This window comes from Homo sapiens, chromosome 3 (assembly GCF_000001405.40).
Source record: "Homo sapiens chromosome 3, GRCh38.p14 Primary Assembly".
Taxonomy (NCBI): Eukaryota; Metazoa; Chordata; class Mammalia; order Primates; family Hominidae; genus Homo; species Homo sapiens.
Genome location: NC_000003.12, coordinates 41,026,298 through 41,039,490, shown reverse-complemented (window position 1 = coordinate 41,039,490; position 13,193 = coordinate 41,026,298). Strand labels below are relative to the sequence as shown.

Below are 13,193 nucleotides of genomic sequence, written 5' to 3'. Positions count from 1 at the left end.
AGTCGTTTTAGTTTTAGTTATTCTTGTGTGTTTGGCAATTCTGGTGCAAATATATTACCAGATTTTGAAGCTCAAAGACAGAGGTTGGAAAAATATTGCCTGCAGGACAAATCCAGCTCACTATTTTTGTACACACAGTTTTATTGGAACACAACCACGCTCATTGATTTATAAATTGTCTATGACTGCTTTCGCACTTAAACAGTCAAGCTGAACACTGCAACAGAGTCCATATGGCCCACAGTCCTTAAAATAGCTGGCCATTTATAAAGTTTGCTGACCCCTGCTTAAAGTAAGTAGTTCATGAAAAAGACGGTTTCAGTCATCATTGTAGACATCTTGTTGCTGTTTTCGTGGCTGTATGGGGCAGGCAATAAGGCCCAACTGCCCAGCTGTTATGCCTTGGTACTATGATGCTAGAATGTTTTACAGAATGCGGAGATATTTATCCCCTCAGCCCTCAAGGCAGCAGAACAGAGCTTGGGGCAGTCAGAGTTCCTGGGATGATCTTTGATTTTGAGCAGCCTCAGTGGTTTGTCCCAGTGTGTTGTGTAAACACAGTTTTCTGTGTGTACCATGACTTTTAAAAGTTTGGGAGACCCTAAGACAGTCCACATCAGCAGTCTTCATTTTCAGAAGCCTGCCAACTGGCTTCTACTTGTTTCTGCGCACTGAAATAACAAATCCTGGTTTTTAAAACATTTTTCTCAAGTCTTCATTTTTTCTTAATCTCTTTGTGGTATTGGATACTGTTTGCTATCCCTTCTGCAAAACACTTGTTCATCTTGCCTATATATTAATTTTAACACTGGTTAACATTCATTGAATCCCTACTATGGGACATAAGATTGACATACAGCATCTTAGCTGTTTATGACAACAACCAGACATAGTAGGTATTGTCACCCAGACTTAGAGTTGAGGAAATGGTTCCAGCAAGTCTCAGTTCCCAGCTGGTAAGTGGAAAAGCAGGGATTCAAGCCTGGGTCCATGGGATTTGACTGTCAATACTCCCTAGAAGGTCAGTTGTTACCTTTCACTGCATGATCCTGTTGCTGTTCCTCCAATTTTAAAGATACTCTTTTGTTTTTGGCTTTTGTTCCTTCTGCTGTCCCCTAACTCTTGTTTCCCCCAAGGCTCAGACCTTAATCTCCTCTTTTTACTATATACTCTTTCCTTTAAGGTCTGACTTATGGTTTTAACTTTAACTTTGATCCTGAATGTGAATTAATATGGATTTTTCTGAGGGTGCTATGAAGACTTTACTTATGGTTTCTCATTAAGTCCTCAACATAACCCTGAAGGTCAATGCTGCACTCACTTCACAGAGGAGAACTGAAACTGAGAGGGGATTATTGACCTGGCTGAGGGGCATTCAGTTGGAGGGTGATGAGAGACAGGACACCTCAAACCCAGCTCTGTGGTGACCCCAAAGCCCATGAGTATGTAGGACAACCCCCACCCCACCTGCATTTCAGAGGTATCTTTGAATTTGAGATTTAGGAAAAAAGCCTTCAAATTCATTCATTCTGCGAAGAAGCACTGAGCCCTTGATATGTGCAAAAAAAAAGCATCAGAGGAGGCACAAAAAAAGGTGCAAGAGAAGTAGGAGAGGAAGGTTGAGTGTCAGTCAGGTCATTTCCCTGCTTCCTCCTTCTGGATCTAGTTTTCTCATCTGTGAACGAAGGGCTGCACCTGTGAACAAAGGGTTGTACCAGATCGGTGTTTCTCAGAGGAAGGTATTAATAGAAGGCCACGTGCATTAAAATCCCAAAGGTACTTATTAAAAATGCAAATTCTCAACCTTACTTCTTACAACTTCCCTACTTCCTACAGGATATGTCTGTTTATATATTTCATCAAGAACTTGAATACAACATGTCTAAAAGCAAACTCACCTTTCTACTTTCCTGCTTCGTGCAAGTTCTGCCTTATAGATTCTCTGTTTCCCACTGTTCTGTTGGCACCTATGTTGATGGCTACAAGTCACCCTGGTTTTTAGATTCCCCAATCTGTACCTACATGCTGCCACCCAACCCCACTAGATTTTGACATCTCCTGTTTATATATTCATGCTTCAGGTCTTGGTAATGCTTTTTCTATTTCCTGACACCATGCACAACCATCTAGATTACAGCCCCTTTATCTGAGTCTCCAGCAATCCTTGCCTGTCCATTTCTTCTGAAATTTAGTGAAGTGTCATCTGCTTTCACCTATCTGATTTTGTATCCACTGGGGCTTGTACATGTCCCATCAGGTCAGCGTAGACCATTCATTATCATCTCTTATGGTGGCTCTCAAACTTGCCTGAGCCTTGGAATCAAGTGCAGTTTTTGCCCAAGCAGGTTTCTGACCAACATCTGATTCAGTGAATCTGAAGTAAGCTCAAGCATTTGCATTTTATTTTATTTTTTATTTTTTTATAAACACAGGATAAAGTCTGCAAGGAATTTGCATTTTAACAAGTACCTTTGGGATTCTAGTACAGCTGTCCCTCTACCTCACTTTGAGAAACACTGATCTGATATACCTGTGCGTTCTCAGGTGCACCTCTTCCTTCACAAAGGAGAGCCCAGAGACCCGAAGGAGGTGGGGAAGAGAACCAATTGGCACTCAACCCGCATCTCCTGCTTCTTTTGCATCCTTTTTTGTGCCTCCTCTGATGCTTTCTTTGTACATATCAAGGGCTCAGTGCTTCTTGGTAAAATGAATGAATTTGAAGGCCTTTTTCCTAATATCTCAAAGTTATTCTCTGGTTGTGCAGTTAAGAGATGCCTATGAAAACTGCATGAGGTCTGTCCTCTGGTAGGATATCTTGGGTAAAAAATGGTGGGACTGAGGAACATTCTACAAAACACCTGACCAGCACTCCTCAAAATTCTCAAGGTCATTCCAGACAAGCAAAGTCTGAGAAACTGTTACAGCCAAGGGGTACATAAGGAGACACAACAACTAAATGTAATGTGATATTCTGGATGGGATCCTGGGACAGAAAAAGGACATTAGGTAAAAACTAAAAAAAAAAAAAAGTCCTTTAATTAATTTTTTAAAAAGAAGTGGTAGAGCAGGAATCTAAACTACTCATGCTGTCTTCCCTTTAGCACATGGGGAGGTAGATTCAGTCATGACCTCAGTCCAGGGTCAACATCTTAGCCTGTTCACAAAGTCGACACTAGTTGTGTTTGCAAAGACTGACACTAGCTCAGCTATTGCTTCGTTTCCTCCCCTTGTTTATTTTCTGAAGGCTTAGATGGCACAAGTGGGTCATTGAGAGAAAGACCTTGACTTTGAGAGCTGGTGGAAAGACAGCACAGTAATTTCAACAGAACTGGGTGCCAAACCTAGCCCTGACATCCATCATCTATGTGACCATAGGTGTGTTACTTAACCTTCTCATAAGTTGAATGGAGGTGACGGTACCACTCTTGCAAACTATTGCATTTGGTGAATGTAGACGGACAGGGCATAGTAGAAAATAGCTGGAAGATGGTACTTTACTTAACATATTTTTTGGTCAGGGATTGGGAGTTTCAGATTGGCTAAAGATAATAATTCTGGGACCTCTCAGAACTTCTGCCTCCAACTTGTTTTCCAAGTTGGCCTCTGTTCCATCCCTGCAGTGCTGGGGGTGAACTTCCTCTCAGAAGTCCCCTGGTTCCCCTGTCATACTTGGCTGGGCAACCTCAGCCATCTCTCAGACTTCTGGTTCCTTATAAATGGAACATTTATCTGCACTGGTCCCAGATGTCATTTTTATTGGTGTCTAAAAATAAAAATAATAGTAATTTCCTAAATGTCAGTAGCCTCAACTGAGCCAGCTGGAGTTCTTCCTCTGGGCATGCTGTGAGAAGCCATTCACACCACGTCCAGATTGCAGACTTCTGACCTACCATCAGCCTGTTGGAGTGAGTGTGATGCCTGGGAAGAAAGTGCAGGCCAGCAGTACAGGAAGGAAGCTTCCAGTCTGTGCCCAGATTGCTGGGGTTCTTCCCCATCTAGCTTGCTCCCTCTTTAAGGTCATGGACGGGAGTGGGGAAGAAGGGGAGAAGGAGGGGAAGGAGGGGAGAAAGAGGCAAAAGGCAAGAGGCAAGGGAGGCAGGGAGGGAGAGACAGAGACAGAATTAGAAAGAAGACCCTGACAGCTTAAAGGTGAAAGAGGTAGTGCTGGCAGATAAGTAACAAACATGGCTACCTCCTGCATGAGATGCCCATGCAGCTGATTAGATTTAGAACCGTTCTCTGATGTGCTCCGTGCCACGTGAGGGAAAGATTTACAAGTGCAATTCTCAGAGATGCTGTTCTGGGGAGTTATGGCATCTCTGCACAGTGCAGCCAGGGAGGCCAGGAAAGTCTCATGCAATTTAAAACACTCCATAGATCTTTCTGGACAGACAGATCTTTCTCCTTCTTGATGCATCTCTGTGGTTGTTGGCCAACAGAGGCAGGGAGTGGGTTGAGGACTGGCCGACCCCTGCAAGGTACAACACTTCTAGAGGGCCTCAGACTCCACTCTGGGGGGCCCCTAACTTAAGCAGAGATAGTGGGATCCTCCTTGAGTAAACTCAGTCTTGGTCCAAGGGGCCTGGATTCCCAAGGGCTGGTGTACGTTTTAAATGTTTTTAGTTACTTAGTAATGCTTGAAACATTCTCCTTGTAAAAAGAACATTAAAGCAATACAGAGAATCTTAATGCATCATTCCTAAACTTTCCCTCACCTCAAGAAATAACTACGGTTACCATTTAGTCGGGCTTTTCTCAGAACTTTTTAATGCATACCTATCCATATATATGAATGCGGGGGTTATAGCTCAGGGGTAGAGCATTTGACTGCATATATGTGAATACATAGAAAAAATATGTTTGTGTGTGAGGTTTATTTCCTTCCTTCCTTTCTTCCTCCATTCTTGTATTTTTCTTTTTCTTTACCTTTACAAAATACTTATTCATATAGGTGTTTGTTTATTTACATAATGGTATCTTAGCGTATGCAGGGTCCTGTAACTTGCTATTTTCATTAATCAATGGAAGTGCCAGTTCAGGCATCCTCTGGGAAGTGGACACTGAGAGGAGTTAGGAGTATAAGGCGTTAATTGGGGGTGATGCCTGTGAAAGATAAAGGTAGAGGGAGCAAGGGAGCAGGGCTGAGCAAGGAGAGCAGTCTGTGATGCGGGTCTGACAGTCTCACCTGCCCAATGGGAGCTCAGAGTTGACATTGCCCTTTGGAGGATTGCCTCATTGGGCAGAAATGGCCAAGCTTTAGTTCCCCAGCCATGCTCAGTCACCTGCTGGGAGACTCCCTGGAAAGCATGGCCTCAACTCAAATGCTGTAGTGAATCCTAAAAGCTCCACAGCTGGAGACTGTTAGCTCACTGCACTCCTTGCAGCTGAGTGGCAGTTGCTTTCTTGAAGGGAAGTCTGAGTGGCACAGCTCCATGGCTGGCTCTTGGATCTTGGACTCTTCATGTGAGGTATGTGTGTCTTTGTTGGAGCATGTTCCTCTGAGTGGGTTTATTACAATTGACCCAGCCATTCCCCTCCTGATGGACACTTAGCTTGTTTCCTTTGCTATAATGAACCATTTGGTAATCATCATCCTTGAAGAGGACTCTGTGCCTTCCTTCCACAGCAGGAGCAGATAAGGGTTCCTTTGGGGTAAATACGGGGAGAAGGAACTTCTGGCTCTAAGGATGCCCATTATGAATCATAGACTCCAGGCAAATTGCGTTCTTGAGGGGCTGTATACAATGACCTTTCTCCCTACGGCAGGGGTCCCCAGCCCCTGGCCACCGACCAGTACCAATCTGTGGCCTGTTAGGAACTGGGCTGCACAGTCGGAGGTGAGCACGGGCGAGTGAGAATTACTGCCCGAGCACTACCTCCTGTCAGATCAGTGGCGGTATGAGATTCTCATAGGAGTGTGAACCCTATTGTGATCTGCGTAGGTGAGGGATCTAGCTTGTGCACTCCTTATGAGAATCTAATGCCTGATGATCTGAGGTAGAACAGTTTCATCCCAAAACCATCCCCTTCCCCCATCCGTGGAAAAATTGTCTTCCACAAAACAAGTCCCTGGTGCCAAAAAGGTTGGGGACCGCTGCTCTATGGGATGGGAAGCCTGCATTTCTCACCCCCACAAGAGGCCTGAGTTTGATGAGAGATTTCTGCATTTGAGGTTGGCCTCCCTGCACTGGACCTCTGACCCTGTTTGTGCAGGCTTTGGCTCCTGACACCTGCTGCTGCTTCCTCAAAAGATTCCTTTACCTAAACCTTTGTCCTGTGTTTGCCTGGCTGGCCCTTGGCCAGCTGAAGTGGCAAATGTAGGGTTTATAATTGTGAACTCTAGAAACAACTAATAACATTTAATCCCAGCTCCTGCAGTTACTAAATATGATGCTGGATGAGTTACTTAACCTCTCTTTGCACCTCAGTTTCTCCATATGTACAATGAGGATAATAGTACCTACCTCACAGGATAGAGTTAGTACATGTGGCATGCTCAGCACCCTGCCTGGGACATAGGAAAGTCAGTGCAATAAATATTAGCTATTGCTGTTATCTGACCATCAGGCTTGGACCTTGGCACCCTGCCAATTATAAAGCCAGTTTTTTCCAGTGCTGATTCTTATTTCCCAACGTACTGCCCTTGTGAATAGTCTCCCCAGGTGGCTCGGCACAGTAGCTCACACCTGTAATCCCAGCACTTTGGGAGGCCAAGGAGGGTAAATCATTTGAGGTTAGGAGTTCGAGACCAGCCTGGCCAACATGGTGAAACCCCATCTCTACTAAAAATACAAAAATTAGCAGGGTGTGGTGGTGCGTGCCTGTAATCCCAGCTACTCAGGAGGCTGAGGCAGGAGAATCACTTGAGGCTGGGAGGTGGAGGTGCAGTGAGCCGAGATTGTGCCACTGTACTCTAGTCTGAGCGACAGAATGAGACCTTGTCTCGAAAAAAAAAAAAAAAAAAAGAACAAGCTCCCGAAGTTCTAGACTGGCTTTAGTTTTGGTCTAGGAAACATGATCACCCCATTCTTTCATCTGGCTTGGGATATGCCACTCTCTCTGCGTCAGTTTTCCTGCTCAGACCCTGCATACCTTTCAGTCTCCGAGATGCAACCCCTGCTCTATCTTGTAGTGTGGCACAGTTGGATAAACACATGATTTTCAGCTCTTTTTTTCAAATCTTAGTTTGACTATTTTGATTCCAAAATACAGCAAAACTCCAGTTGTTCAAATATTGACTCTAAAACATGTGAAACTTAGTTCCCTCATCTGTAAAACGGGGTTGGTAATATGACCTACCTTATAGGGCTATTGTGAGGATTAAAGGAAATAACACATACAAATAAATTAATGCTGTGCTCATCAAATGGTATTAACACTATTATCTCCCCCAGAATGCACTATACTTCAATGCTGTTCGCTTGCACCTCTGAGTTAACCGAGGACTTAGCACTTCCATTCTTACTATAATCAGATGTGACTTGTATTTAGTTAAGTGTATAATAACAGGGCCTGGTATAAAGAGATGGGTAAATTCTGAATAGGACAAAGATGGTAAAAGCAAAGGAATCAGAGTATCAACAGCAGAGTTACTTTTCCTCTCTGCTCAAGCAAAACATCTTCATTGTGATGTCAATATAAGTACATGCTGCAAGGTCAGTGCAGTGCAGAGAAATGTGAAAGTGTCCCCGTCTAAAGAGGAAAAGGGACTACCCAGCTACCACTCACTATTATCTTCAGGATCTTGGGCCCAGCATTGTGAAGGTCAATTTTCAGAAACAGAGAGAGAAAAAACAAAAAACAAAAAACGGAAGTTAGGATTTTTATGAGAAACTTCTCAATTTTATGACATTGACAACTAATTCAAGTGAACCTAGCCAGCCAGTTGGTGCTTCTGCTTTAGGGCATTTCTTCACAGTGTGACTATAACTTCCCATGTCACCTGAAAGCTGATGGAGTTTTTCTCTCTAAAGCGCATGGTAGCTTCACAGGTTGGTAACATTTAAGTGGCAATTATGGGGCACTTTGGAATTTCAGTGGCCAGCATTAAACACTTCCTTCTTTGGGTTTCCTGGTTTTATTTCTCCTGGGGTCCTGTTCCACTTCTGTTAATTAGGTCCTTCCTTCCCCACTTTCCACAAGGGCAAGTGATCAAGTGGGCTGCCCGGCTCATAATATTCATTGAATAATTGCAAAGTTAGGAATCCAGGAACTTCTTTCCCCCAGTAACTCTTTTAGTTTGTATCTTTTTTCCTGGAGTGAAATTAAAGCAATGTTTCAGCAACCTGTTTAACCAGATGGAGAGCAAGGCTTCTCTGGGACCACAAATTTCCCTTTGGCCCTCCTCTTTGTATCTAGGGGGTTGCATTTTTCATTTCCAAGGGCTTTATTTACAAGTTGCCAAAGCTCCCTTCTTTCTGGCTCTGTCCCTTGTCTATGTCTGAGCACCAGCTCATTGTGACACACTGAAAAGTGAAATATATTCTCTGCATATTTATGTTTAGGGACTCCCACAGAATTCTGTGAGTGTAGCCAGAGCAAGGACTCGGGGTCTCCAGCCTGGTGCAGGACCTGGGGGCGGGGCGTGGTGTTCCTCAAGGGCTGGGATTGTTGCTGTCCCAGGATAGGGTAGATGACTCCTCCCAAGGGCCACCACACTGATTTACCATCCTGATTTACTCTGCCCACCCTACATGTGGAGGGGATACAGAGCTATTGCAGGATGTTTTTCCAAACTTCTTTTCAGCAGGGGAAGCCTTCCTTTAAACGACGTTGTACATAAAAGGCAATAAGTAAAAGAACGGAGAGAGAAGCTGCTCTCATTGGAGATCCTGGCATGCTCAGCCCCTCCTCGGCCCTCCTCCTAATTGGAGTGGCTCCTTAGATGCTCCTCGGCAGACTCTGAGGTTCTACAGAGGAAATTGGTGTTCAAGTCCGAGTGTTTCTGTTGATCATTCCTTCCCCTTTACAGGCAGGGATTTGTAACTGAAGTGAACATTGCGCCCTGCCCAGATTTATTCATGTCCCTTTATCTGATCTGTGTGTCTCTCCCTGGCTTTGGTGAATTGTTGCTTCCAGTAATGGAGCACTGCCCTCCAACTCCTGGAGCCTGTCTGCTTAGGAGGCGCTGGGAGTGCCAGGGAGTGTACATCCCTAAGGGTAACTACTGACCAATGCCCAACTGGAGAAGGCTTATGAGAGCCAGCTCCCTTCCCTAAAGCTGGGTGGGGAGGAGCAACATGAGATGGAACTTACACACCAGGGCTTCCCCGAGGGATCAGGCTGAAGCTACCCTCTGAAGGATTTTGCCTGAAACCACCAGTCTTGTTTGCCTTTCTCTCCGTCTTTGTCCTGCTTCCTTCTTTCCCATACTAACCTTGCCTGTGAGCATATCCTTAATATATTACCTGTATCCAGAAGCCGGGCGCGTTGGCTTATGCCTATAATCCCAGCACTTTGGGAGGCCGAGGCAGGTGGATCACGAGGTCAGGAGTTTGAGATCATCCTGGTCAACATGGTGAAAACCCATCTCTACTAAAAATACAAAAAAAATTAGCTGGACTTGGTGGCACGTGCCTGTAATCCCAGCTACTCGGGAGGCTGAGGCAGGAGAATCGCTTGAACCAGGGAGTCGGCGGTTGCAGTGAGCTGAGGTCGCACCACTGCACTCCAGCCTGGGGACAGAGCGAGACTCTGTCTCAAAACAAAAACAAAAACAAAACAAAACAAAAACCCTGCATCCAAATCCTCATCTCAGGTTCCCCCCAGTTCTGACTATCTCTCTCATGCTGTGTGCTTTCCCGGGGCGATTCTTCCTTTCATTGGCTAGTCTTCAGCCAATGAAAGGTACAAAGGGGCCTCTCCACCAGTGGCCTTTCAGGATCAGGGCAACTGTTCAGTTGGGCCTGCAGCCATTTCTCTCTGCTGTGTGTTGATGTATTTCAGGGAAGCACAACTCACTGGCCAATGTTCAACTTATCAGGGACTTTGTTACCTTGGAAACACAGGGCTAGGAGGCTGAGGAACCAAGCATGCCTAAGTCAGAGAGCTGGTGCCTGGGGCATCTTTTGAGGTGAGGGCAGCTTCTTTGGGGCATCTGCCAGGACAGAACCCACTTCATAGCCCGCTTCTTCTTTTGCGTAACCACTGACCCTCACTCAAAATCTGATGCTTATTAGAAGTTTGAAGATGTGCCTTTCAGGCTTTTGATTAATAGTTTCCTTTATTAATCCAATTTAAGGCCAGGGCATTTTCCCCATCTCTAAGACACCAAAGAGCACAGCAAAACACAGCCTTTCCTTAAGGCGCTACATCTGCCTGGCTTTTATGTGGTTAAGGTCTCATGTGCATTTCTCCTGGGCCAGGCAGTGAGGGAAATGAGGGAGACTGACATGACCTTTGGGTGCCAAAAGCCTTTCTTGACCCTTGCAAGGCTGGGTTAGGACTCTTACTAAGCATCCCCACAGACCCCTACTGCATCGTTTCATATACCATTTTCTAATTGCTGATTTGCTTGTCTAGTTGGTGAGGTTGAAGGAGAACCTCTAGGTCTGAAGGATTTAAAGTCACTGAACAATAATATTTAAAAGCAAATCATGATGCCTTAATCAAGTGGTAAATTGTATTTGCTGGCTTTGCCCACTTGGCAACAAAAGAACAGCCTGGGGTGAACATGAGAATGTAATTTGGACATAGAAGAAAATAGGTCACTATTCATATTCATAGACTGTGTTTTTTGTTTGTTTTTTGTTTTTTTTTTGAGACGGAGTCTCGCTCTGTCCCCCACAGTGGTGTGACTCAGCTCACTGCAAGCTCCACCTCCCGAGTTCACACCATTCTCCTGCCTCAGCCTCCCCAGTAGATGGGACTACAGGCACCTGCCACCACGCATGGCTAATTTTTTTTTTTTTTTTTTTGTATTTTTAGTAGAGATGGGATTTCACCATGTTAGCCAGGATGGTCTTGATCTCCTGACCTCGTGATCCACCTGCCTCAGCCTTCCAAAGTGCTGGGATTACAGGCGTGAGCCACCGCGCCCAGCCCACTGTGTTTTTTAAATTGCAAAAAGTCAGGGCACAAGATCTCATACATGCTTATGGGAACTATGGGAGAAAACAGTTGTAAATGCAGAATGGGTTGCCCTTGTCATTAAGCCAGCCATGCCTAAGTTTCTAGCCCCATAGCTCTCCTACTGCAACCCTGGTCCTACCTTCACATTCATCAAAGGTGATGGAGACTGGATCACTCCCTTCTTCTCCATCCCATTCCTGCCTGCATCCTAGGCAGTCTTGGGTGATCCTGCTAACACCCTACAGCTCCTTGATCTGCTCAGTTCTCATGGCCTTCCCCCTCCACTCTTCCATGCCTGTGGCACCTGCTGGACGTTGTCATCCCCAGAGCTGCTATTGACTCTACCTGCTCCTCTGAGCTCAGCCTCTTGACCATCCTTGGCTTCTCAGTCTCTGATTTCTTCCACATTTACTCTTTGACTTCACTATGCTTTCATTTGCATGTGTCCTCTCTATCTGGGGGATTCATCAGCTGGTCCCCGCCTGGCTTTACTTTCCTGCTTATCTTGGGAGGCTTCACATCATCCTTGGTTTAGCCAGCACCCTCATCTGCCTGCCCCTTAGCCTGCAACACCACTCTGCAGACCTCATCCCTGCTGTCCACTCTTCTCTAGTCTTCTCAGTGCTTCTAGGGGCAATCACAACAGTCCCATCCGTACCTTCAATACTGCTCAGCATGTATATAATGTGCCCAGTTTCTTCTGCCCTGTCATTGCAGCTGTTCCAAGCCCATTCTCAGGTCTCACAGAGAATAACTTGCTGCATTACAGAAGAAAAGAAGTTTCTGGCATGAATTCCTCTACTTTTACCCCTATTTACTGCAAACCCTATTTCACCTTGTCTCCTCCTCTTCCCTCCTGTGCTGTTGCTGCCTGTCTCCTGTCTAGGGAAATCAGGTCTAAGGCTAGATATCACTTCTTCCAGAAAATCTTTCCTGTGCACCCTCACTTCTGCTGGCCAAGGCTAGGTTAGGGTCTCCTGCTGGGTTTCTACTGAACCCTGATTTTCACTCCATCCCACCACATTGTAATGGTTGATTTACTATACATCTCTTTTGCTGGGCTGTATGAGCTCTTTGAGGGCAGAAGCGTGTTTTTCTTGTTTTCTTTTATATACCCAGCACCTGGTAAAGTAAGTGCTTGATATATGTTGTTGAATGAATGAATCTTATTTTCTTTATACATAGTTTATTCAACTGCACTCAGGATCCCTTCCCTTCCTGCCTCTTTGTGCTGTCAATTGTTCCTTTTCTGGGTTGTGTCCTCAACCTGCCTTCTGGTGGTGTTTTATGTACAACTGCTATTATTGTTATTATTAATGATATTATAGCCACTGTTTATTGGACACTTACTATGTTCAGGCACCTTGCTAAACACCTTACATGCATGCTGTAGTTTAACCCTTACAATAATCCTGTGAGGGTAGTATTATTATTCCCACTTTCCCAATGACATTTAAGCAGAATTAAATCTCCTTTAAAGTAAAGTCCTTCCTAGACTCTGTATGCTCCTCCACCTAATGTCATATATCTTCATTACGTTTACACCATGTTTCTAAAGTGTCATCTCTACCAGCTGTCTCCCCATTCTGACCCCTCTTACTCCTAGCTCCCTGGAACAGAGCCCTGTCTGACTATGAAAGCTCCCACTGACGTCACCAGTGACCTCCATGTGGCTAACACAGTGAATGCTTTCAGGCTTATCTTCCCAGTTTTGCAGCAGCAGATGACACTGACTGGCCACTCCCCGCTGTGGTTCTGTTTCCTTCCCAGCTCCCATTTCCTCTGGCCCCATTAAGTGTTTTGTTCCCAGGGGCTCAGTTCTTGGCTCTTTTATTTCTTGCTCCATACCCTGTCTCTAAGTATTATCTGTTTCAGCTTAACTAAAAATCCTGCTGGCATCCCAGGCTGCTCCCCTATGCCCTAAAACCACAGGACCAGGGCTTCTGTTTCACCTTGATAACCCTTCCACAGAGGCCAAACTCAGTGTGCCAATCAGATCTTATCCTTTACTGTCTCCATCTCAACATGTCTCAACGCCTACTCCTCCTCTTGTATTCCTTAACTTAGCCAAGGATACTATCACCTGCACAGTGGCCCAAGTAAAAATGTCGTCAAAATTTTTG

At 45.1% G+C, this 13,193-nt stretch overlaps 1 annotated feature.

The window, feature by feature from the left end:
* Positions 12,619-12,913: an enhancer, noted in NCBI's record as "tiled region #4350; HepG2 Activating non-DNase unmatched - State 10:DNaseD, and K562 Activating DNase matched - State 5:Enh". NCBI's record gives its function as "activates a minimal TATA promoter and a strong SV40 promoter by Sharpr-MPRA in HepG2 and K562 cells {active_cell/tissue: HepG2 | K562}" and the evidence as "EXISTENCE:reporter gene assay evidence [ECO:0000049][PMID:27701403]".